The 26,537-nt window shown below is 36.7% G+C and overlaps 1 protein-coding gene across 17 annotated transcripts in view; it reads right to left on the reverse strand.

Annotated features, from left to right (window-relative positions):
- Nucleotides 1-26,537, reverse strand: part of DMD (dystrophin) — a 2,220,167-nt gene that overhangs the window by 1,666,451 nt on the left and 527,179 nt on the right. For all 17 annotated transcript variants that reach the window (XM_006724469.4, NM_000109.4, XM_011545467.2 and 14 more), the window contains 1 exon segment: nucleotides 23,821-23,939. In XM_006724469.4, the coding sequence (XP_006724532.1) occupies nucleotides 23,821-23,939 (119 nt within the window).

Below are 26,537 nucleotides of genomic sequence, written 5' to 3' on the forward strand. Positions count from 1 at the left end.
TTTCTCATCTTATAGTCCCTTAATATTCCATATTTTTTAACTTTTTTCGTATTTCACATGCAGTTTGTTGGTGAAAGCAAAATTCGAGATATAATAGAGAGAAAAAAATACATTATTTATTTTTATCCAGGAGCTTATGTCTCATTTTTATATCGTTGTTATATTTTGCAATGGGTGAAATTTGTCTTTCTCTTCAGTCTTTTAAAACCTAGTTACTTCACCAGGTTTTTTCCAAATACTCAAATGCCCAATCGTTATTTTTCTATACTAGTTTTTTCCCCACTTCTGGCTGTCTCTTTTCAGAGTCCCTTTGATTAACAACTACAACAATATCATAGTCTGCTGTTTAACTACAGTGAGGTGAATTTATTAAGGGCTTCACCATGTACTCTTGCCTCTTGAGGAGGAATAAGAGTGTGTGTGTGTGTGTGTGTGTGTGTGTGTGTGTGTATTCCAATTATTAATAAAAACAGTTTTCAAATCACTTTTCCAAGAGACTCACTTGCCCAACTGATTCTATACAGAAAAACTTAGATATTAAAGCCTAGGTAAAATGTATCTTTTTATTTAGACTTTCTCAGATAATAGCTTTTTTTTTTAATCCACATATGACTCAAGGTGGGATTTCAATCTAGATAAGAGATGTTCACATCACGACCTCACTGAGGAAATATTTGAGATAGTGAGATGTTTTGATGCCTTTGCCATCTAATTTTAGAGTTAACTGAGAAAGAGTAGAGGGGAATATTTTCATAACTGGTGAGTGTCTCCCTTTGATAACTTTAGTGTGGCTTGGATAGAATGTCATACTTGCAAGATTTGTAAACATCCTTCTACTTTAATTATTTAATGATTCTCTCAAGGAAACATCATAGTAAAAAGAATTCAGTATCCCTCTTATTCTGGCTCTAGTTTATAAAACTTTTCCATTTATTTTCAAAACATTTGGAATCAACTGATGGATGTGCATCCAATTAAAAACAAACCCAATTAGCCCTGTAATAAAATGAGTAACCTTTTAGTTAATGCAAAGAAAATATTCATGGAAGAAGAGAGGAATATTCTGCCATAAGATTATATTCTGTAGTAGTTACAAGTAGGGAATCTTAACTCCAACTCACTAGCTGAGTGATGTGGGCAATTTACATAAACTCTTCAGTTGCAAATGACCAAAATAATAGTCTCTACCTCCTAGAGTTTTTGCAGAAATAAAACGAAATTATACAATATCAAGCAATGTGCCCAGCACTTAATGTTTAATAAATATCACACCAGATTACATCAATATTACTATGTATGTATTACTCCCAGCTTCAGAAGTTGAGTTTTTCTGAGAGTCTGGGAACCAATTCAACCACTTTTACGATGTCATATGACGTAATGACTACAAGAGAAAACCTAGTTATACTTTTGCAAGTGTGCTAACTAATGTCTTACAAATACTATGACAATTATAAGGTACTATCATGAACCAGCCTTCAGGAGACTTGCTAGAAATCTACCATGTATCCATGACAACTGTGAATCAATCTCTCTGTCAAGTGTGTGTGTGTGTGTGTGTGTGTGTGTGTGTGTGAGAGAGAGAGAGAGAGAGAGAGAGAAAGAGAGAGAGAACCACTCTGAGGAATTTAAGATATAGTATAAATCTTTTATGAAAACTAGATTAGACTCTGGAGCTCAAGGATATCAAAGATTACCACCCAGTACACCAGCTGTGAGCCAGCAGTATTCCTCAGACCAGAAAACCAGAATGAGTGGGAAGGTCACAGGAAGACCAGCAAGATTTCAAATGGGAAATGACAGTAGATCCCCCTTTTCCACGGGGGATATGTTCCAAGACCTACAGCAGATGTCTGAAACCACAAATAGGCCCTATATATACTGTTTTTCCCATACATATACATACCTATGATAAAATTTAACTTATAAATTAGGCACAGAAAAAGATTAATAACTAATAGAACAATTATAGCAATATGCAGTAATAAAAGTTACGTGAATGTGGACTCTCACCTCTCCCTGCCCACCCTCCCCACCATCATCTAATTGTACTGTACTCATCAATTTAAGGACCACGGTTGACCATGGGTAGCAGAAACTGTAATGAATAAGGGAGGACTCCTGTATTTAATTTGGGGAGAGTCAGCATTTATTCTAGAGGCAGGCAAAATAACTGGAAAGATCAGTTTTCCCTACAGGAGTATAAAGGGACCATTTAATTTTTACAACATTCCAGTTATTTGACATAACTTTAGCTACTGTTTCTGGGCTCATATTACGGGCCAAATACATACAGGTTTTACTTACTCCTTGAAGTAGCAGTGGGAGGTAAATATTTTTACTTTACACGTGAGCAATACTGAGCCTCAATAATTTTCCAGTGGCCTAAAACTAATAAAGGCAAAAATCAGATTTTAACCCAAAACTAGTTGGCTCTGTGTAGAAAAAGTTAAATCAACCCTAGGTTAATCTGATGCTGCCTAGGAAAATGAACATAGAAACTTATTTTCTTAGGATTAAGAGTTAAGATAATAGTAGAATTTCTTGTCACTCTTGTTTGCTAGGTAGGACTACTATTAAATTAACTGGGGAGTGGGGCAGAGAGGCAATATATAGTCTTTTGTCCTATGTGACAACAATGGTATTAAATATTGGTGGGAAATTAATGCTGCAATTTCTTCATGTCAAGTAAACCACACTGATTTTGGCCGTTGTCCTAGCAGCTATATGGAGCACATTTGGGTGAGAGGCATGTGGAAATCTGTATGTTGGTTGCTTCTGGGCCATCCAATGATACAAAGATTCTATGACAGTGTATCTCCTGCCTTGTATCCTTCTGTACAGCTAAGTAAATGTCATAGATTAAATTCTATTCCATCTGTGAGTATAATTGCCAATTTTATCTCCTTACAACTACACTAACAGTGCAGGCTCCAAAGTTCATTATGTCCTGTCAGTAAAAGTTGCATATCTGGCTAAAATACAAACTGTTTAGCAAAACTAACCCTGGATAAATGGTAAATAAATTCAACCTATTTATGGCATTAATATCAGAGATCATAAAATTAAGCCATTTGCTTATTTCAAGTGGATTTATGGGATCAGACTTCTAATTTGAAAACTATTATTTTACCATCATTTTAATTGTTTTCCCTTATTAGCCCTTAGTTATTATTAAAAATTCTTCTAGTTCTTTATCAGCTCTGCCAATGAAAGACATTTTTATTGGCTGCAAAAGGCATCAACAAACCTCAGATAGCAGAACACAGTGATGTCAATTAGTAACAAGATGAGAGAGGCAGGCAAAAGAAGAAATAAATTAAAGAACAAAGAGTCAGGGATCACCTCTGCAAACAGCTCCTCTCACCTGGGCAACCCTTGCTGGAAACTGTTTGAGTCAGAGTACCATTCTATCACAAACATGTCCGTGAAGCAATAAATAGAAGAAGGAATGAAGAGAGACAACTGTGCAGACAGGAGATAAGGCAAGTTTCTTAATCCTAAAGAGAATGTTTTGATGGCCAGTCTTATGTGACAGCTAGTCTATTTTTACTTTGTCTGTGGATGAACAATTTCTCATTAACAGAACTGTTAGCAATAAGCAGTACTCCAGTAATTGAAGATGTGAACAGCAGGCTTAGTCATTTTTTAAGGAAGAAAATGCTAGAAGTCTAAACAAATGCTGGGACAACAGATTCTGGATCTTATCCTATAAAAGGGCATATCTCACAGAAACAATTGTTCCATTGTAGTTGTTTCTATCTTAGCTGCAGGATACTCTCACTTACTGAGCTTCTAAAAATTGCTGATGTCACAGCCCGTCCTCAGTGAAATAAAATACTAGTTTCAATCCCAGTGTTGCCATAAAGCTTCCCCAACCGATTTTATTGGACAGTCTTGTGAGAAATAACACGGACTTTAAGAAGAGATAAACCCTGGATTTGATTATAGCTCAGTTATCTATTGGCTGTGTGATCTTGATTTTAATAAAGCTCTCTAAGCCTCAGTTTTTCCATTTATAAAAGAAGGATAAACTTACCTGGAATTGTTGTGTACAAGACATAAGATAAAGTATGGAAATTATCTAGAACATGACTGCCCTACTTAAACATTTGCACTCTTCTACCAAAAGGAACTTGCAAATTTGAGTTTATATCACTGATGATAAATTAGAAAAATCTTTGCAGGGGAAAAATGTGCTTTGATTTGAAGCAAAAGTTTATTCAGCAATATTAACATCTCACAAGAATGATATTACAGGATATTTCCTAAAAGTAAAAACACTGGTTTCAACCACCTTATTAAATTGTAATAATATATAAAATTCCTAATAATTTAATAGTTGTAACAGTTTTCTCACTTTTCAACTGGATATCATATGATCCACTAACTCCACACGATTGCCATAAGACAAAAAATCTGGGGCTTCAAAATGGCTGAATTGATGGATCTGTTACTCACCTCTTCCATGGAGAGGAACCAAAGTACCAAGTAGATAATCATACTTTGAATACATTAACTAAGAGAAAACACTGAAATTCAACAGAGAAGCAATGAAAACCACTAAAAGGAAAAAGAAGGAAATGAGGCACTCTATCCAGCTGAGATTGGCTAGGAGTCTGGAGAGGCTCCCTAACATGGGGAGAGAATTAGAGATGCACAAAGGTACACATTCTTGTACAAGATTCCTACAATCCTAGCCAATTGAGAGCCCTTCAACCCGTGTGGGCCCCCAAACCAACACACAGCTGTCTAGATACTGTGCAAAGGCATTGCTTCACGGAAGAAGCCCATGCTGGGTTCCACAAACTCTAGAGTCCTAAGCAGCTGCAACATGGCCTGGTTTTGAGAGCCCAGCCCCCACCAGTCTATGTCCTGACCTAGGACTAAAAATCTTCCCTATCTCCACATTCCTGGAGTCTCAGTGATATTTCCCACCCATGGCTGCAACTGCTGGGGCCAAGGCAGGAACCACTGGCAGCAAACCCTCCCCTGCCCAACAGAGGGGTGGCCACTCAACTTCATGCACACTGAAGACTAATTCCACTGCCTGCAAATGCTGTCACTGTGAACTGCTGTGGAGTTGAGACACAAGCGACGCACAGGCTACCCAGGCAACTGCTTATGGCTGCTCCCAAGGAAAGCAACCTTACCCTCTCCAGTAGCAGGGCCACAGTGTAGCCAACACTGCCTTCCACCTGAGCATTGCACAAGGGACCTGGGGAGCACCTTGCCCCTCGACTACAATAACCAGTGGTTGCATGCACCACCAGGAGTCCTGAGGACAGGTCTTCCCAGCTCTGCTCTTCCAAATCCCCCAGTACATAAAAATTTGTATAGAGACCTGGGGCTCTCCCACCCCAGTTTACCACCATTGGCATCTGACTAGTCTTCCTGGGGCCTGAATTTGGGCCCACTCAAGCTTCCACTACCACCAAAGCTGGCGTCAACCTACATGCACCATCTGCAGGCCTAGGAACTGGCTTGCCCAATCTGTTGCATCCACCACCAACACCATCATGGATTGCTTGCATTCCAGAGGGTTGCCCCCCTCCCACTATTGCCATTACCCGCACCATGCTTGCTGCCCCTGGGCTGGGAACCTGTGTACCCACCCAGCCCACCTATGCTTTTCCTGACAACCAAGCAAGCCACCTATAAGCCAAAGGGTTAGCCTGCCTGGACACACTAACATCAATGCCAATGTACACAGCTCTGAGGCCTGAGGACAGGCACGCTCAACCAACTGATGCCACCACTGGGGCCTGAAGACTGGACCACTTGGTGTCCCAGTCACCGGCAAAACTTCACCACAGCTTCTGCTAACAACTGCACCCTAAGCTACTGAGGAAGTTACAGACACCATTCATACTGTTTACATCCAAAGAAATCATACAGGAAGTATACTACTATATACATTCAGAATCAAAGGCAAAGACTCAAGAGGAGACTAGATAAAACAGAAGAATCTCAGAACATGAAAACAGGTCTTTTAAAATAACCTACTCAAACAAAAAATAACAAAAAATTTTAAAAAAATGAGCAAAGCCTATGTGACATATACAACACCATAAAGCCATGAAATGCTTGCATTTTTTATGTCCTAGAAGGTAAAGGAGAAACTAAAGGTTTAGAAACCCTATTTAACAAAATAATAGATGAAATCTTCCCAAGTCTAGCAAGAGATTTAGACATCCAGATACAGGATGCTGAAAGATCTCAAAAAGGGATACAATTCAAAAATGTCTTGTCCATGACACATTATAGCCAAACTCTCAAAAGCCAAAGACAAAAAGAGAATTCTAAAAACAGCAAGAGAAAAGCACCTTGTCACTTATAAAGAAACCTCCATCAGATTAACAGTGAATTTCTCAGAAGAAACCTTACAGGCCAGAGAAGAATGAGATGTTATATTAAACTTGCTGAAAGAAAACAACCACCAGCCAAGGATACTCTACCCAGCCAAGGTAGCCTTCATAAATCAAGGAGAAATAAAATAGTTCCTAGACGAGTGAAAGCTGTGGAAATTTATCACCATGATACTGGCCTTACAAGAAAGGTTTAAGGGAGTCCTATACCTGGAAGTGAAAGAATGACAACTACCATCATGAAAACACATAAAAATATAAAAACAACTAGTAGTGCAAACACACAAAAAAAATCAAGAAAAGTTACTCAAATGTTACCACTAAAGAATACCATCACACTATAATGATAATGAGGGAAAAAAATGAAGAAAAAATATTCAAAACAACCATAAATCAATAAAATGAAAGAAATAAGCCCTCACATATCAGTAATAATGTTGAATGTAAATTGATTAAACATTCCACATAAAAGACATAAACTGGCTGAATGGATTAAAAAATATATAACCCAAAAATATTCTGCCTAAAATAAACTCATTTCACCTGTAAAGACACATATAGATTTGAAGTAAAGGGATGGAAAAGTATATTTTATGCAAACCGAAGCCAAAGGGGAGAAGCAGCAGCTATGCTTACATAAAACAGACTTTCAGTCAAAAACAGTAAAAACAAACAATAAGGTCATTATATAATGATAAAGGGATAAGTTTAGCAAGAGTATATAAAAATTCTAAACATACATACACCCAACACGAGAGCTCCCAGATATATAAAGCAAGTATTAGATCTAAAGGGAGAGCTAGATGCAAATACAGTAATATCTGAGGACTTCAACACCCCACTCTCAGCATTAGATCACTTAGACAAAAAATTAACAAAGAAACATTGGCTTGAAACTGCTCCTTAGACCAAATAGTCCTAACAGACACTTATAGGACAATTCCTTCAACAGTCATACACATTTTTTTCTCATAAGCACACAGAACATTCTCCAGGACAGACCATATGTTATGACAGAATATGTCTTAACAAATTTATAAAAAATCAAAATCATATCTAATATCTTCTTAAAACACAAGGAAATAACAAAAAGAGAAACTTTGGAACCTGTACAAAAACATGGAAATTGAACAACATACTCCTGAATGACCATTGGGTCAAGGAAGAAAATTGAGGAAATGTTTTCAAAAAATTATTGAAACAAATGAATATCAAAATATAATAACACCTACGGGATATGGCAAAAGCAGTGCTAAGGGGGATGTATATAGCAAAAATGCTCACATCAAAAATGTTGAAATATTTCAAACAATCTAACAAAGTACTTCAAGGAGCTAGTCAAAGAAAAAAAAACAAACCAAACCCAGAATTAGTAGAAGGATGAAAATCCTAAAAATTGAGCAAAACTCAAGAAAATAGAGAGCAAAAAATACAAAGTATCAATGAAATGAGAAGTTTGATTTTTAAAAAGATGAAAATAAAGCACTTGCTAGACTAACCAAGAAAAAAAAAAGACTCAAAATCATAAATGAAGACGGAGACATTACAACTGATACCATAGAAATAAAAAGTTCAGAGACTATACTGAACAACTATTAAATAATAAACTAAAAATCTAGAGGAATGTATAAATTCCCGGACACATACAACCAACCGTGGATCAAGAAGAAATAGAAAATCTGAACAGATCTATAATTAGTAATGATCTTGAATCAGTAATCTTAAAAAATTTCCCAACGAAGACAGTCCAGGACCAGATGTCTTTACTGCTGAATTCTACCAAACTTTACCAATTCTCCTGTAAGTGTTCCAAGAAAAATTGAAGAGGAAGGAATTCCCCCTATCTCATTCTATGAAGCCAGCATTACCCTGATGCCAAACCCAGACAATTATGCAACAAAAAATACAGGACAACATCCCTGATGAACACTGATGTAGAAATTCTCTACAAAATGCTAGCAATCCAATAGAACATAAAAAATGTAATATTATCAAGTGGAATTTATCCCAATGATACAAGGATACATCATACACAAATCAATAAATATGACATATTACATCAAACAGAATGAAAAACAGAAAACATGATCCTTTCAATAGACACAAAAGAACATTTCATAAAATTTAACATCCCTTCGAGATAAAAACTCCAACAAACTAGGCATACAAAAAAAATTAACAAAATAAAGACCATATATGACAAATCTACAAGTAGTATCAAACTGAATGGGGAAAAGCTGAAAAATTTCTCCCTATAAAACTGGAATGGTCAGGCGTGGTGGCTCACGCCTGTAATCCCAGCACTTTGGGAGGCAGAGGTGGGTGGATCAATAGATCAGGAGATCGAGATCATCCTGGCTAACACGGTGAAACCCCATCTCTACTAAAAATACAAAAAATTAGCCGGGCATGGTGGCAGATGCCTGTGGTCCCAGCTGCTCGGGAGGCTGAGGCAAGAGAACGGCATGAACCCTGGAGGCTGAGCTTGCAATGAGCCAAGATTGGGCCACTGTACTCCAGCCTGGGCAACAGAGCAAGACTCCATCTCAAAAACAAAAAACCAAAAACAAAAAAAAGAACAAGACAAGGATGCCCACTTTCACCACTCATTCAACATAGTACTGGAGGTCCTAGCCAGAGCAATCAAGAGAAAGAAATACAAGGCGTCCTAATAGAAGAAATCGTTGTCCAAGTACTGCTCTTTGTTAATAACTTATAGCTAGAAAAAGCTAAACCCTCACCAGAAAGCTCTCAGATCTGATAAATAAATTTAGTAAAGTTGCAGGATACAAAAATCAACATACACAATTCAGTAGCATTTCTATATACCAATAATGAACTGGCTGAGAAAGAAATCAAGAAGGCAAACCTATTTACAACGGCTGGAAATAATACCTAGGAGTAAGTTTAGCCCAGGAGGGAAAGGTCCGTATAAAATACAGAACACTGACAAAACAAATTGAAGAGTACACCAACAAATGGAAAGTCATCCCATGTTTATCGGTCAGAAGAATTAATGTTATTAACATGATCTTTCTACTCAAAGCATTCTACATTGAATAATGCAGTCCCTATCAGAATACAGAAATGGAATAAAAAGTGATCATAAAATTTGTACGATCAAAGACCAGCAGAGAGCCTGAATAGCCAAAGCAATCCTGAGCAAAAAGAACAAAGACTTATGAATCACACTACTTGACAAAACAGCAAGGTGTTAGAATAAAAACAGACATATAGAACAATGGAATAGATTAGAGAACTCAGAATTAAATCCATGTATTTACATACAACTTGTTTTTGACAAAAGCACCAAGAACATGCATTAGGGGGAAGGACACCTTCTTCAAATGGTGCTGAGAATTGGATTGTCAGATGCAGAAGTATGAAACTGGATCCCTGTCTCTCACCATATTAGAAAATTCAGCTCAAGATGGATTAAGGATTTAAAGGTAAGACCTAAAACTGAAACTACATGAAGCAAACATAGGGAAAACAGACAGGACCTTGGTCTAGGCAAAGATTTTATGGTTATGACCTCAAAAGCGCAGGCAACAAAAACATAAATAGATAATTGGGACTGTAGAAAATGAAAGAGCTTCTGTAAAACAAAGGAAGGATTCAACAGAGTGAAGAGACAACCTGCTGAATGGGAGAAAAGATTTGTAAACTATTCAGACAAGAGACTAATATCTAGGAAATACGAGGATCCCAAACAATTTAACAGTAAAAAAATAATCACATTAAAAATGGACAAAGGACAATAATAAGTATTTCTCAAAAGAAGACAAATGACCAACGGGTATATGAAAAAATGCTCAACATCACTAATCATTAGGGAAATGCAAATCAAGTCATGATGAGCCATCATCTTGCCCCAGTTAGAATGGCTATTATTAAAAAGACAAGAAAACAACAGATGTTGACGAGGTGCAACGAAAAGGGAACTCTTAATACATTGTTGTAGTTCAGAATATAAGTCAGTATAGCCACTATTGAAAACAGTATGGAGAAGATTTCTCAAAAAACTAAACATAGAAATAGAGTATGTGTCAGCAATGCCACTAATAAGTATATATGTAAAGGGAAAGCAATCATATACTTTTCTAACTATCAGGAAAAGTATATGCATGGCATACCTGTACTTGCATGCTTATTGAGGCACTATTTATAATAGCAACTTAAGTGTCCATTAGTGAACAAATGGATAAAGAAAATGTGGTACATATATACAGTGGAATACTCTTCATCCATAAAAAAGAATTACATTTTCTGCACCAACATGAATGAAACTGCAGGTTATTAAGTGAGACAATCGAGGCAAAGATAAATAGATTTTACATTTTCTTACTCATATATAGGTGTAAAAAAAGTTGTTCTCATGGAAATAGAGAGTATAATAAGATACCAGAGGCTAGGAAGGGTAGGAAGGGAATATAAAAAGGGGTTATTTAATGGGTACAAATATATAGTTGGAAGGTATATATTCTAATGTTCAACAGCAGAAAGGGGTGACTAGAGTTAGCAACAATATGATGTACATTTCAAAGTAGATGAGAGAACTCAAAATGTTCACAGAACATAAAAATGATAAATACTCAAAGTAATGAATACCCCAAATACACTGACTTGACCATTACACATTCAGTGCGTTTAACAAAATATCACATGTATGTACATATATGTAAAACGTTATGCATCAATAAAAATAAAAGTTCTAAAAAGAGAATAAATCTAAGAGGATAGCTTATTGCTTTAAAATAAAATGACAAGACAACTATAAATCTTCAGGTTTCCCTCTGCAAGGAATAAATCCTATTGTATGACAATTAAATTTCCCTCTTATAAGATTTAAATGACATCAACAAAGACTTTAGTTCATCATTATTTTACCCAAATATTGTTGTAAAATAGTATATTTTCATCTTATATTTCATGTTCCAGCTGTAAAATGTCACATGCATTTTATATATAGAAATTATTTAATTGGAAAACATATGTACCAACCTAATATCTATTTTTCCAGTGCCCAGCTTTAAGGTTTTTGGATATTCATTTGCAGGTTCTGTGATGTCTTTTTTTGTTTGTTTTTGTGGGATGGGGGGACAGGGCCTCAGTTCTTTTGCCTAGGCTTGAGAGTAGTGGCACAATCATAGCTCACCGCAGCCTTGAACTCCTGGCCTAAAGCAATTCTCCTGCCTTGGCCTCCCAATGTGCTGGGATTACAGGTGTCAGCCATCACACCCAGCCCTGTGATATCACTTATAATTATGTATAAAACACAGTTAACTCCATTTTGAAGACAGTGAAGTAAGTTTTCCAACTATCAGCAAAATATACATTACATTCAAATATTATCACTGACTTAAAACCACATAGAAAATTTTAAACTACTTATGCCATTTTATTCTCATTTACCATCATTAGAATGGTCAAAATGTTTTTGCCAAGGCAAAATTCTGTGACAAGAAACACAGATATCAACTATAGAACACTTTTCTGAATCAAACCTAATATCTCATGTATTCCTTCATAGCTGAAATAAAATTAACAAATACCAATAGATGTTTTTAATATATTTCTTTAGTCTCATGAACTCATTGTGATGATATGACTAGGAAAACCATCCACAAAGTGTCTATTACATATTATTTAGCATTAGAACCTCATGGCTGCATTTCTCATTATTAATTTATTAATGTCTTGTCAATCATTCAAAAATCACTTAATGTCACTGTATAGGCCAAGGATATTGTTATTTCACCTGTAATTAAAAAAAAAAAGTTGTGAAAATAATCCTGGTAAGCTAATTGAAAAGAGATTCTCAGTTATCTAGGTAAGAATTATATTTAAATGTTTCTGAACAAATTTGGCATAGAACCTAATCCATAATGCACATCTTCAATCGCATGATTATACTTCATTATTTAAATTCCCCAACTGAGTAAGAAACTCTTACTTAACTAAAGCATACTTTAACAAATCAGCCCCTAGGGGAGATAGAAATTATAAATTGACCATTTTCCATAAAGTTAAAATGGTGACAAATCATAGAAGAATGTGAAAGATTAGTAGAAAATACCAAAATTTGTTATAAAGGGTAAATTCAAGCCAGGCTCCCGCACACACAAATATCATATTTAATGTTTTTCAAGTCTCTGTTGTCTAAGTAGGTGAATTTGGGACAGTTACATGCAATTATTTGTCATCCAAACAACTGAAATGGATAAGGAGAACAAAAATTGCTTTCATTTATTAGTGACTGGTTCCAACTGCCCAGAAAATACTCAGTTTTTTTATGGTATCTGAACTGAGAAAGATGTACAACACATAACATCAAGAGAACACACTGGAATACTCTCATGCCTCTTCTAACTTTTAGGCCACTGGGAAATAACATTTACGTCTTAATTTTTGTCATGAAGAGCAATTTCAAGATTTCCCATCAGGGAAGAGGAAATTGCTACAATAATATCTGAATGTTAATATAATCATCTGTATCATACCTATTTGGTATATATTACTTTGTCATCAAAAAGGCAATGGCCATTTTTCATTCATGTAAGTGCCAGTGAAATATTTTCTTAAATATTTTCTTAAATATATTTTCAACTGCAGAGTTTGACTCTAAATTGTCTGAAATATTTACAGTAAGGATTTCTAGTTGAAATACCGTATATAGAGAAGGAACACCTATAATATTGCAATCGCATTAGATTTTCTGAAAACAAGGTACTCTATAATGAGTTCTAGACAAAAATCAATCTAAATGATATAAAATTAGTGTTTATGTTCACAAAAATATTTATTTATTTAAATTAACTCTAATCCTCCTGAGAATTAACCCTCTCAATTTTAACCTGTGTAAACTTATAAACATTTCTTGCCATTATGGTATCAAAATGTGATGATTACAGCAGAGGCGGAAAAAAGTTAAAACAGCCCTTGTTCAGCCAATTGATATCAAACCCAACATAAGAGGCCTTAAAAATATTCTTCTCTTTTATAGCAAATTCTATGTATCTTTCCATGATTATTTTTGTAGGTTAAAATCCTGCATGCATACAAAGCCAAGTCTGAAAGCATTCACTCCAGGAGTAAAACTTTCCAACAGGCAGAGCTAATTCTTGGAAAAGAAGGCTATAAAAACAACTCAAGAGTGATGCAGGGATTAGCCAAGCAGAAAATAGAATCCGTGTCACCATTCTCAGGAAGTCAAAATAAAGGGGATTAAAACCAAACCCTAACGGGTTTGTAAATGTCATTTTGAGGATACAAAAATTTCTCTCGAGTCCTAGTGTCCTTCCTTTTTTGGTCAAATTTGACTGTCATTATTCATTTTTGTTCTAAAGTTACCCTGGTAAATAAGTAAGAACATTTCCATATCATATTTCATATCCTAAATGGAAATGGCTTTCTACACTAATATTCAAAAGACATCTAGAACAGGCGCAATCTTTTATCCCTGATTTTTTGTTTTATTCCTTTAAAGAGAACATCCTCACTTTGTTATTCACAGGGGAAAGCTGACAAAGCACTCTCTTAATATAGGGAGGATTTTTTTTTTTTTTTTGGACTGGCAAACAAACCAATCTGTTTGAAACTCAGAGAAACAATGTATATGAAACCCACGACCAACGCATGTAGAATGTACTGTCTTACAGAGAAATCATAACGGGAAGAGAATTGTCTGATTCACAAAAGGATATTTTTAAAGAGATATACCTATTATCTATGAGCATAAACATACATAATTTATTAAGTTTACCCTAGATGTACTTATTTTTGCATATGTTAGCATCTAAACACACTAGAAACAGCTCCTGAAATCGCTTATGCTAATGCCTACTGCTACTCATTTTAAAAGGCAATTCCACTTAAAACTAAACCTCAGGCCTCAAAACACCAGTTAAGGCCAAAGCATATCAAATTCTATATATGAAATCCTACAAGGTTTCAATGACTTCCTAATTTTATAAAGCAATTCTATCAACAAAGCTTATGTTTAAAATTGTCAAAGCATTATTTGGCAGGTATTTCTTAAACCAAATATAGCTTCAATCCCCCAATAATAAAATTCTCCCCAAATGTTTCATTATTCTCCTAAGGGGCATAACTAATTTAAAATGAAATTTCTTTGGAGAGTAGCCAACATCATGCATAAGCTACAGAACCAATATCTGGTTAAATAAAAATATGAACATCACAAAAGCAATTACTATACAGGCATGAATCACGAATTTTGCTGGTAAATCTATCGAAGAGAGTGTTCTAAGTCTGAGACTTCAAGAGATGGTGTTCTGTCTTTTGTGACTAAGCAGTCAGTAAATAAAAATTCTTATGAGTTATTATTTTTTTCTTTGAATCATCATTGAGATTATCTCCTGAAAAATGCTGAGCAAAAATGTATAAATGTGTACTTGGTGGTTTCCCTAACACAATGGCAAGAATTGACATATTTTAAAAATATATGACTTATGCTGAATCCTCATCTTATTTGCAGCCATAAGTAAACTTTAAGAAACTTTTTATTATTATACTTTAAGTTTTGGGATACATGTGCAGAACGTGCAGGTTTGTTACATAGGTATACACATGCCATGGTGGTTTGCTGTACCAATCCGTCATCTATGTTAGGTATTTCCCCTAATGCTATCACTCCCCTAGCCCCACACACCCCAAAAGGCCCCAGTGTGTGATGCTCCACTGCATCCATGTCTTCTGGTTGTTCAACTCCGATTTATGAGTGAGAACATGCCGAGTTTGATTTTCTGTTCCTATGTTAGTTTGCTGAGAATGATGTTTTCCAGCTTCATCCACATCCCTGCAAAGGACATGAAACTCATCCTTTTTTGTTGCTGCATAGTATTCCATGGTGTATATGTGCCAAATTTTCTTTATCCAGTCTATCATTGATGGGCATTTGGGTTGGTTTCAAGTCTTTGCTATTGTGAATAGTGCTGAAATAAGCACAGAATAATTTATAATCCTTTGGGTATATACCCAGTGATGGGATTGCTTGGTCAAATGGTATTTCTGGCTCTAGATCCTTGAGCAATCACCACACTGTCTTCCACAATGTTTGAACTAATTTACACTCCCAACAGTGTAAAATCATTCCTATTTCTCCATATTCTCTCCAGCATCTGTTGTTTCCTGACTTTTTGATGATCACCATTCTAACTAGCATGAGATGGTATCTCATTGTGGTTTTGATTTTCATTTCTCTAATGACCAGTGATGATGAACTTTTTTTTCACATACTTGTTGGCCACATAAATGTCTTCTTTGAGAAGGGTCTGTTCATACCCTTTGCCTACTTTTTGATGGGGTTATTTTCCTGTAAATTTGTTTCTTGTAGATTCTGGATATTAGCCCTTTGTCAGATAGATAGATTGCAAAAATTTTCTCCCATCCTATAGGCTGCCTGTTCACTCTGATGATAGTTTTCTTTTGCTGTGCAGGAGCTATTTAGTAAGATCTCATTTGTCAATTTTGGCTTTTCTTGCCATTGCTTTTGGTGTTTCAGTCATGAAGTCTTTGCCCATGCCTATGTCCTGAAAGGTATTGCCTAGGTTTTCTTCTAGGGTTTTTATGGTTTTAGGTATTACATTTAAGTCTTTAATCCATCTTGAGTTAATTTTTGTATAAGGGGTAAGGAAGGGGTCCAGTTTCAGTCTTCTGCATATGGCTAGCCAGTTTTCCCATCATCATTTATTAAATAGGGAATGCTTTCCCCATTGCTTGTTTTTGGCAGGTTTGTCAAAGATCAGATGGTTGTAGATGTGTGGTGTTATTTCTGAGGCCTCTGTTCTGTTCCATTCGTCTATGTATCTGTTCTGGTACCAGTATCATGCTGTTTTGGTTACTGTAGCCTTGTAGTGTAGTTTCAAGTAAGGTAGCATGATGCCTCCAGCTTTGTTATTTTTGCTTAGGATGGTTTTGGCAATGCAGGCTCTTTTTTAGTTCCACATGAAATTTAAAGTAGTTTTTTTCTAATTCTGTGAAGAAAGTGAATTGTAGCTTAATGAGGTAACATTGAATCTATAAATTACTTCGGGCAGTATGGCCATTTTCATGATATTGATTCTTCCTATCCATAAGCATGGAATGTTTTTTCATTTGTTTGCGTCCTCTCTTACTTCCTTGAGCAGTGGTTTGTAGTTCTCCTTGAAGAGGTCCTTCACATCCCTTATAAGTTGGATTGCTAGGAATTCTATTCTCCTTGTAGCAATTGTAAATGGGAGTTCACTCATGATTTGGCTGTTTATTATCGGTGTATAGGAATGCTTGTTATTTTTCCACATCGATTTTGTATCCTGAGACTTTGTTGACACTGCCTATCAGCTTAAGGAGATTTTCGGCTGAGATGATGGGGTTTTCTAAATATACAATCATGTCATCTGCAAACAGAGAATTTGAATACCCTTTCTTTCTCCTGCCTGATTGTGCTGGCCAGAACTTCCAATACTATGTTGAATAGGAGTGATGAGAGAGGGAATTTTTGTCTTGTGCCAGTTTTTAAAGGGAGTGCTTCCAGCTTTTGCCCATTCAGTATGATATTGGCTGTGGGTATGTCATAAATAGCTCTTATTTTGAGACACATTCCATCAATACCTAGTTTATTGAAAATTTTTAGCATGAAGGGTAGTGAATTTTATCAAAGGCCTTTTCTGCATCTATTGAGATAATCATGTGGTTTTTGTCATTGGTTCTGTTTATGTGATGGATTACGTTTGTTGGTTTCTGTATGTTAAACTAATCTTGCATCCCAGGGATGAAGCCAACTTGATCATGGTGGATAACCTTTTTGATGTGCTGCTGGATTCGGTTTGCCAGTATTTTATTGAGCCTTTCACATTGATGTTCATCAGGGATATTGACCTGAAATTTTTTTTATTGTGTCTCTGCCAGGTTTTGGTATCAGGATGATGTTGGCCTCATAAAATGAGTTAGGGAGGAGTCCTTATTTTTCTATTGTTTGGAATAGTTTCAGAAGGAATGGTACTAGCTCCTCTTTGTACCTCTGGTAGAATTCGGCTGTGAATCTGTCTGGTCCTGGGCTTTTTTTGGTTTGTAGGCTATTAATTACTGCCTCAATTTCAGAACTTGTTATTGTTCTATTCAGGGATTTGACTTCTTCCTGGTTTAATCTTGGAAGAGTGTATATGTACAGGAATTTTTCCATTTCTTCTAGATTTTCTAGTTTATTTGCGTGGAGATGTTTATAGTATTCTCTGATGGTAGTTTGTATTTCTGTGGGATCAGTGGTGATATCCCCTTTATCATTTTTTACTGTGTCTATTTGATTCTTCTCTCTTTTCTTCTTTTTTAGTCTGGCTAGCCATCTATTTTGTTAATCTTTTCAAAAAAACAGCTCCTGAATTGAGTTTTTTTTTTTTAAGGGTTTTTCGTGTCTCTATCTCCTTCAGTTCTGCTCTTAGTTATTTGTCTTCTGATAGCTTTTGAATTTGTTTGCTCTTGCTGCTCTAGTTCATTTAATTGTGATGTTAGGATGTCGATTATAGATCTTTCCCACTTTCTCCTGTGGGCATTTAGTGCTATAAATTTCCCTCTTCTAAACACTTCTTTAGCTGTGTCCCACAGATTCTGCTACATTGTGTGTTTGTTCTCATTGGTTTCAAAGAACTTATTTATTTCTGCCTTAATTTCATTATTTACCCAGTAGTCACCCAGGAGCAGGTTTGTTCAGCTTCCATGTAGTTGTGCACTTTTGAGTTTCTTAATCCCGCATTCTAATTAGATTGCACTGTGATCTGAGAGGCTGTTATGATTTTCATTCTTTTGCATTTGCTGAGGAGTATTTTACTTCCAATTATGTCGTCAATTTTAGAATAAGTGCAATGTGGTGCTGAGAAGAATGTATATTCTGTTGATTTGGGGTGGAGAGTTCTGTAGATGTCTATTAGGTCTGCTTGGTCCAGAGCTGAGCTCAAGTACTGAATATCCTTTTTAATTTTCTGTCTCGTTGATCTGTCTAATATTGACAGTGGGGTGTGTTCAAGTCTCCCACTATTATTGTGTGGGAGTCTAATACCCAGTGGTGCCTGGAACGCCAGCGAGACAGAACCGTTCACTCCCCTGGAAAGGGGGCTGAAACCAGGGAGCCAAGTGGTCAAGTTCAGCAGATCCAACGCCCACGGAGCCCAGCAAGCTGAGATCCACTGGCTTGTAATTCTCGCTGCCAGCACAGCAGTCTGAAGTGGACCTGAGGCTCCAGCTTGGTGGAGGGAGGGGCGTCCGCCATTACTGAGGCTTGAGTAGGCGGTTTTCCCTCACAGTGTAAACAAAGTCGCTGGGAAGTTCAAACTGGGCAGAGCCCACTGTAGCTCAGCAAAGCCACTGTAGCCAGACTGCCTCTCTAGATTCTTCCTCTCTGGGCAGGGCATCTCTGAAAGAAAGGCAGCAGCCCCAGTCAGCGGCTTACAGATAAAACTCCCATCTCCCTGAGACAGAGCACGTGAGGGAAGGGGCAGCTGTGGGTGCAGCATCAGCAGACTAAACGTTCTTGCCTGCCGGCTCTGAAGAGAGCAGCAGATCTCCCAGCACAGCACTGGAGCTCTGCTAAGGGACAGATTGCCTTCTCAAGTGGGGCCCTGACCCCCGTGCCTCCTGCCTAGGAGATGCCTCCCAGCAGGGGTCGACAGACACATCATACAGGAGAGCTCTGGCTGGCAACTGGTGGGTGCCCCTCTGGGACGAAGCTTCCAGAGGATGGAACAGGCAGCAATCTTTGCTGTTCTGCAGTCTCTGCTGGTGATACCCAGGCAAATAGGGTCTAGAGTGGACCTCCAGTAAACTCCAGCAAACCTGCAGCAGAGGGGCCTGTTTGAAGGAAAACTAAAACAGAAAGGAATAGCATCAACAAAAAGGACATCCACTCAGAAACCCCATCTGAAGGTCACCAATGTCAAAGATCAAAGGTAGATAAATCCACAAAGATGAGGAAAAACCAGCACAAAAAGGGTGAAAATTCCAAAACCCAGAACACCTCTTCTCCTCCAAAGGATCACAACTCCTCACCAAACAAGAGAACAAAACTGGATGGAGAATGAGTATGACGAATTGACATAAGTAGGCTTCAGAAGGTGGGTAATAAACTCCTCCAAGCTAAAGGAGCATGTTCTAACCCAATGGAAGGAAGCTAAGAACCTTGAAAAAAGGTTAGAGGAGTTGCTAACTACAATAACCAGTTTAGGCAAAACAATAAATGACCTGATGGAACTGAAAAACACAGCACAACAACTTCATGAAGCATACACAAGTATCAATAGCTCAATCGATCCAGCAGAAGAAAAGATATCAGAGATTGAAGATCAACTTAATGAAATAAAGTGTGAAGACAAGATTAGAGAAAAAAGAATGAAAAGGAATGAACAAAGCCTCCACGAAATATGGGACTATGTGAAAAGACAAAACCTAAGTTTGATTAGTATACCTGGGAAAACATTCTTCAGGATATTATCCCGGCGAACTTTCCCAAACTAGCAAGACAGCCCACCATTCAAATTTAGGAAATACAGAGAACATCCACAAAAATACTCCTCAAAAAGAGCAACCCCAAGACACATAATTGTCAGATTCACCAAGGTTGAAATGAAGGAAAAAATGTTCAGGACAGTCAAAGAGAAAGGTCGGCTTACCCACAAAGGGAAGCCCATCAGACTAACAGCAGATCTTTCTGCAGAAACCCTACAAGCCAGAAGAGAGTAGGGGCCAATATTCAACATTCTTAAAATAATTTTTAACTCAGAATTTCATAGCCAGTCAAACTAAGCTTCATAAGCGAAGGAGAAATAGAATGCTTTAAAGACGAGCAAATGCTGAGAGATTTTGTCACCACCAGGCCTGTCTTACAAGAGCTCCTTCAGGAAGCACTAAATATGGCAAGGACAAACCAGTACCAGCCACTGCAGAAGCATACCAAATTGTAAACACCATCGACACCATGAAGAAACTGCATCAACTAACAAGCAAAATAACCAGCTAGCATCATAATGACAGGATCAAATTTACACATAACAATATTAACCTTAAATGTAAATGGGCTAAATGCCCCAATTAAAAGACACAGACTGGCAAATTGGATGAAGAGTCAAGACCAAATGGTGTGCTGTAGTCAGGAGAGCAATCTCACGTGCAAAGACACACATAGGCTCAAAATAAAAGGATAGAGGAATATTTACCAAGCAAATGGAAAGCAAAAAAAATAAAAGCAGGGGTTGCAATTCTATTCTCTGATAAAATAGACTTTAAACTAACAAAGATTTAAAAAAAACAAAAAAAGACAAAGAAGGGCATTACATAATGGTAAAGGGATCAATGCAATAAGAAGTCCTAACTATCCTAAATATATATGCACCCAATACAGGAGCACCCAGATTCATAAAGCAAGTTCTTAGAGACCTACATAGAGACAGACTCCCAAACAATAATAGTGGGAGACTTTAACACCCCACTGCCAACATTAGATCAACGAGACAGAAAATTAACAAGGATGTTCAGTACTTGAACTCAGCTCTGGACCAAGTGGACCTCACAGACATCTACAGAACTCTCCACCCCAAATCAACAGAATATACATTCTTCTCAGCACCACATCATACTTATTCTAAAATTGATCACATAATTAGAAGTAAAACACTCCTCAGCAAATGCAAAAGAATGAAAATCATAACAACCAACCTCTCAGACCACAGTGCAAACAAATTAGAACTCAGGATTAAGAAACTCACTCAAAACCATACAACTACATGGAAACTAACAATCTGCTTCTGAATAACTACTGGGTAAATAACAGAATTCTGACAGAAATAAAGAAGTTCTTTGAAACCAATGAGAACAAAGATACAATGTGCCAGAATCTCTGGGACACAGCTAAAGCAGTGTTGAGAGGGAAATTTACAGCACTAAATGCCCACAGGAGAAAGCGGGAAAGATCTAAAATCAACACCCTAACATCACAACTGAAAGAACTAGAGAAGCCAGAGCAAGCAAATCAAAAGCTAGCAGAAGACAAGAAATAACTAAGATCAGAGCAGAACTGAAGGAGACGGAAACATTTAAAAAAAAAAAAAAAAAAAAAAAAAAACATCAACAAATCCAGGAGGTGTTTTTTTTTGAAGAGATTAACAAAATAGACTGCTAGATAGACTAATAAAGAAAAATAGAGAAGAATCAAATAGACACAATAAAAAATGATAAAGGGGATATCACCACTGATCCCACAGAAATACAAACTACCATCAGAGAATACTACAAACACCTCTACGCAAATAAACAGGAAACCTGTTTAAGCGATAAGATGCTCTTTCAATTGGAAGAGTCTATATATAGAAAGGCTTTACAGATATGAGATTTTATTGGGAAAACGAGACCATAAGCAGTGGCTGGATCTTCATTAATCAGCCTGTATTTCATATTACATTTTGTTGATTTTAAATTGTTGAAGTTTGAGACAGTAAAATGGTGATCTTATAGGATATACAATGTACCTTTCTACATATACTTCCCACTTAGGAGAGCATATGGAGTTAGGTATACCAGGCTCTTTTAGCTATAAAATACACTATTCATGTACCTGCCTTTTTCTGATTACAGGCTCGTCAACCTACTTTTTAAAATTGTTTTTATTCATTTAAATTTTTTGTGGATATATACATAGGTGTATATATTTACCTATTTTCTGATTATGATGTGGATGCCCATTTAGGCACTCCTATTCTGTAAGTTCAAAGGAGCACTAGAGGTCAAAAGCCATTTTGTCACTTAATAAGAAAAATATCTATTTTTAAATCTTCTCTTACTGTTTTATGAAAGGATAGGACACACACAAGAATAACTAGAGCATACACCCCAATAATGGGAACTGACCATATGTGATTCAATAAAAAACAAACATATTAACAGCCTTATCTTTCAAATTCATACAGTATAGCTCTTTATCCTCAGAGGTTGAAGTCCGTATTTTCATTATGTCTGCCCTTTCTACCTCACTGAACTAAGAGAAAACATACAAATGTGTACTACGAGTCAATAGTAAAGTAATCCTCCCCTATACTGCAAACTAAGGACGTAGGATTAATAGTTTCTCCCTTAGAGCTAAAAACAGGGGTAGGAGGGATACTATCGTGTATAGAAGCAATAAAAAGGGGTTACAGTATTCAGTGTTCAGCCATGCATTATCCAAAGGAGAAGAAACATTTCAAGTCAACTTAATCTGATCCCAACTTCACAAACTAACATTTTTGTTGTAATTTGCTTTCCCAAGTACATGTGCTTATCAAGAGCAATATATTTGTCAATTGTATGTGAATATTCTGCTGCTTGTTATATCTCATTTAAGATTACTGAATTTCCATTTTTATTTATATATCACTTTTTAAACTTAAAGTTAACTCCTCCCACCCCAATGTGGATCTGCTAGATGATCTGAGGCAATCAGGCTTCTGCGTCTGCAAAACTGAGTACTAGATTCTGGTTGATAATAAATTCACTGGCAAAAGGCTGTCTTCTGGGTCATTTTTGAGTTTTCTTGATGGGACCTACCATCCATATTGAAAGATCTCCTGTTTTGGAATTGATGAAATCGATTTAATATTCCCAAAAGCATTTAATTATCAGCTTCTATTGTAGAACAGCTTCTACCCAAATATCATCTTCAATCCCACCGATTTCACTTTTCCAACTCCTGATTTTAGAGTGTAGTAAAGCCTTGAGAATTGAGAACAGAGGCTACCATTTCAAAATTGGCATGGCAAAAAGTGTACTTCATAGGCTAGAAGAAGAGTAGAGGTCACAGTGTTATTATCTCTGTAATCTCTACGTCTGGAAGGTATGACTATGTAGCACCAGAGATAAGAGTCAAAGTTATTGAAGTGTAATGTAATAAAAATATAAATACACTTCTGCCTATCAACTAAAGAAGCAGAAAATGAGTAACCATCCAACAGAGGATCTCCCCAGAGTGAAAAATTACAACAGAAGTAGTGGCAGGAATAGATTTCCTGATTTAAATAGTAAACCATGTTGCCTTTTATAGAGTATATGAATGAAATTGGCAAGAGTAGCTAATTAATTATAGCTGATTACTCTATCAAATCTCTTGGTAGCATAAGCAAAACATTAACTTTTTATAATTATTTGGAGTCAATGCACTCCAAATGCAGTATGCTCCATCCATAGGGCATACACATTTTAAAGGCTTTTTTCCTAAAAGTCTTCACTGCAATTTTAGATACTGGTATTTTGAGAACTAGAATTAAATAAGACAATTCATAATATAGTGCAAGAAGGCTGAACATTTTAAATATATCTACAGTATTGGAAAACTTAAGATATGTAGTTTTGTATTTTGTGTAGAAATGACAAGTCTCAGATGAAAACATTAAACTCTACCATACTAAAAGCAGTGGTAGTCCAGAAATTTACCAACCTTCAGGATCGAGTAGTTTCTCTATGCCTAATTGATATCTGGCGATGTTGAATGCATGTTCCAGTCGTTGTGTGGCTGACTGCTGGCAAACCACACTATTCCAGTCAAATAGGTCTGGCCTAAAACACATACACATACACACATACACAAAGACAAATATAAATCAATCTAGAATGTTCCATGAGATTTACTTCCATGCTTAATTTTCATTGACAACCAATGCCCATAGTCCTTAAGTCTTGAGTGTAATTCATTTACCCTTTAAAATATTTCTATTTAAACAAGTAATAATTTTAATGGAAGATCTCATTGGGTGTGGTGGCTCATGCCTGTAATCTCAACAATTTGGGAGACGGAGGTGGGCAGATCCTTTGAGCCCAGAAGTTCAAGACCAGCCTAGACAATTTGGTGAAACCTTGTTTCTACCAAAAAAAAAAAAAAAAAAAAAAAAAAAGAAAGAAAGAAAGAAAGAAAGAAAAACTAGCTGGGTGTGGTGTCACATGCCTACAGTTCCAACTACTCAGAAGGCTGAGGTGGGAGGATCACCTGAGCCCAGGGAGGTTGAGGGTTCAGTGAACCATAATCGTGCCACTGTACTCTAGCCTGGGCAACAGAGTGAGACCCTGTATCAAAAAAGAATGCTGAGGATGTATACCTTAAATACATACAACGTTTATTTGTCAATTATACAGCAATAAAGATGTGGGGAAAAAAGAAAATCCTGAAGATGACAAATAATCTACGCTAGCTTATCCAAGCAACAAAAATTTATCTATCTCATCCAGTCTCGTGGATTTCAATACCAGCCATTTACTGGTAATGCCCAGTTTTATATGTCTAACCCAGACCTCTTCCCTAAACTTCAAATTATAGATTCTTCTAAACACTCATTATCTCCATTTAGTAATCACAAGCTTCAAGTGTCCTGAACTGAGCTTCTGATGTTTATCCTCATCATACTCCCCCAAACCTACCTACTTTTCTTGCTGTTCTCCCTTCCTCAATAATGAACAATGTGTTTAAAATTGCAGTTGCTCAGATAAAAACCCTTGGAGTCATCCTTAATGACTATTTTACTCTCACACAACATTTAATTCAAAATGTATTCAGAATTTGACTGCTTCTGACTATCCTCACTGCCATCACTCTAGTCCAAAATCCATTTTATCTTGCATGAATTATCACAATAGCCTCATAACTCTTCTCTCACTCTTGCCTGCGTTAATTAGTGCATAGCAGAGTTGCCAGAGTGATCTGTTAACATGTTTCATCATATCCGTCTTCTCAAATCTCTGCTTTAGGGGAAGTACAAATTACGTATTTCATGTGATCTACGAAGTCCAACAGGGTCCAGGTCCCTATTAACTCTCTGATTTTATTTCTTGTCTCTTTCCTCATATTCCATAAACAGGATCCATAGTTTCCTGCACTTGGATTTGGAATTCGCTTTTCGAAGACATAAACATGGCTCACTCCTTTACTTCCATTGGGTCTTTACTCGAAAATCACATCACTGATAAGTTCTTCCCTGCCCAAGCCCTATCTAAAATTGCATGCTGGCCAGGCACCTTGGCTCACACCTGTAAACCAAGCACTTTGGGAGGCTGAGGCTGAAGGATTTGCTTGAGGCCAGGAGTTAGAGACCAACCTGAACCACATAGTGAGACCTGGTCTCTACAACTTATTAAAAAAAAAAAAAAAAAATAGCCAAGTGTGCTGGCATGCCCCTGTGGTCCCAGCTACTCAGGAGGCTGAGGTTGGAGAATCACTTGAGCCTGGGTGGCTATAGTGAGCCATGATTGTACCACTGCACTCCAGCCTGGGTGACTGAGGAAGAACCAGTCTCCTAAATAGATAAATGAAAGAAAACTGCATGCCTCAAATCAAACTCACATATACTTATTTTCTTTCTCCTTATCTGCTTTATACTATTCTCATTAACACTTACTATTTAACGTATTATATAATTTAATTAAATTTCTCTGTGTATCTTTCTCTTCCACTAGAATGTACAATCTTTTATTGCCTATTTTGTTCACTGCTGGAAACCTAGCCTGACACAAAATAAAGGCTCAACAAATATTTATCAACTACACGAGAGAATGGATGAGCACATGAAACTTACATACCATGTTACTTGATAATAGAGAAAATGCAAAGGAGTGTAAGAGGCAGTTCTTGTCTTATAAGGATTTTAAATTTAATGAGCAAGAAAAATGAAGAAGCCATATGAATTAATTAAACTCTAAATGTGAAAAAACACAGACAATAAGAAAATGTTTTGTAAAATCTGAAGCGGTCAAGAAAGTTTTCTGAGGCTGAAAGACAGATTAAATAGACGTTTCGACTTGCATTAAAAAAAATGTATTGATAATAGAATTCTAAGTTGTGTGAGCGTTAGAGAATTAAAGTTCTTAGGGAAGGAAAAAAGCAAAACATGCTCAGATAATCAAGACCTCACAGGCCTGGCTCCATTGGAAGATTCTAAGTATCAAGTGGTGGGAGATAGGTTTAAAAGAAAGAAACTGGCTGAGTTTGCATAAGGTGTTGGCTGTTAACGTATTATAATTTATCCCAACAGCACTGGAAGTCATTAGTCAAGTGGTTCTTCACCTATTCTGAATCACAGACACCTTTGAGAATCTGTTGAGAGCTATGAAACTTCTACTCCTACAAAAAAACTCTCCATATCTGTGAACAGAGTCTACATACAGTTT

This window comes from Homo sapiens, chromosome X, assembly GCF_000001405.40.
Source record: "Homo sapiens chromosome X, GRCh38.p14 Primary Assembly".
In the NCBI taxonomy this organism is placed as follows: domain Eukaryota; kingdom Metazoa; phylum Chordata; class Mammalia; order Primates; family Hominidae; genus Homo; species Homo sapiens.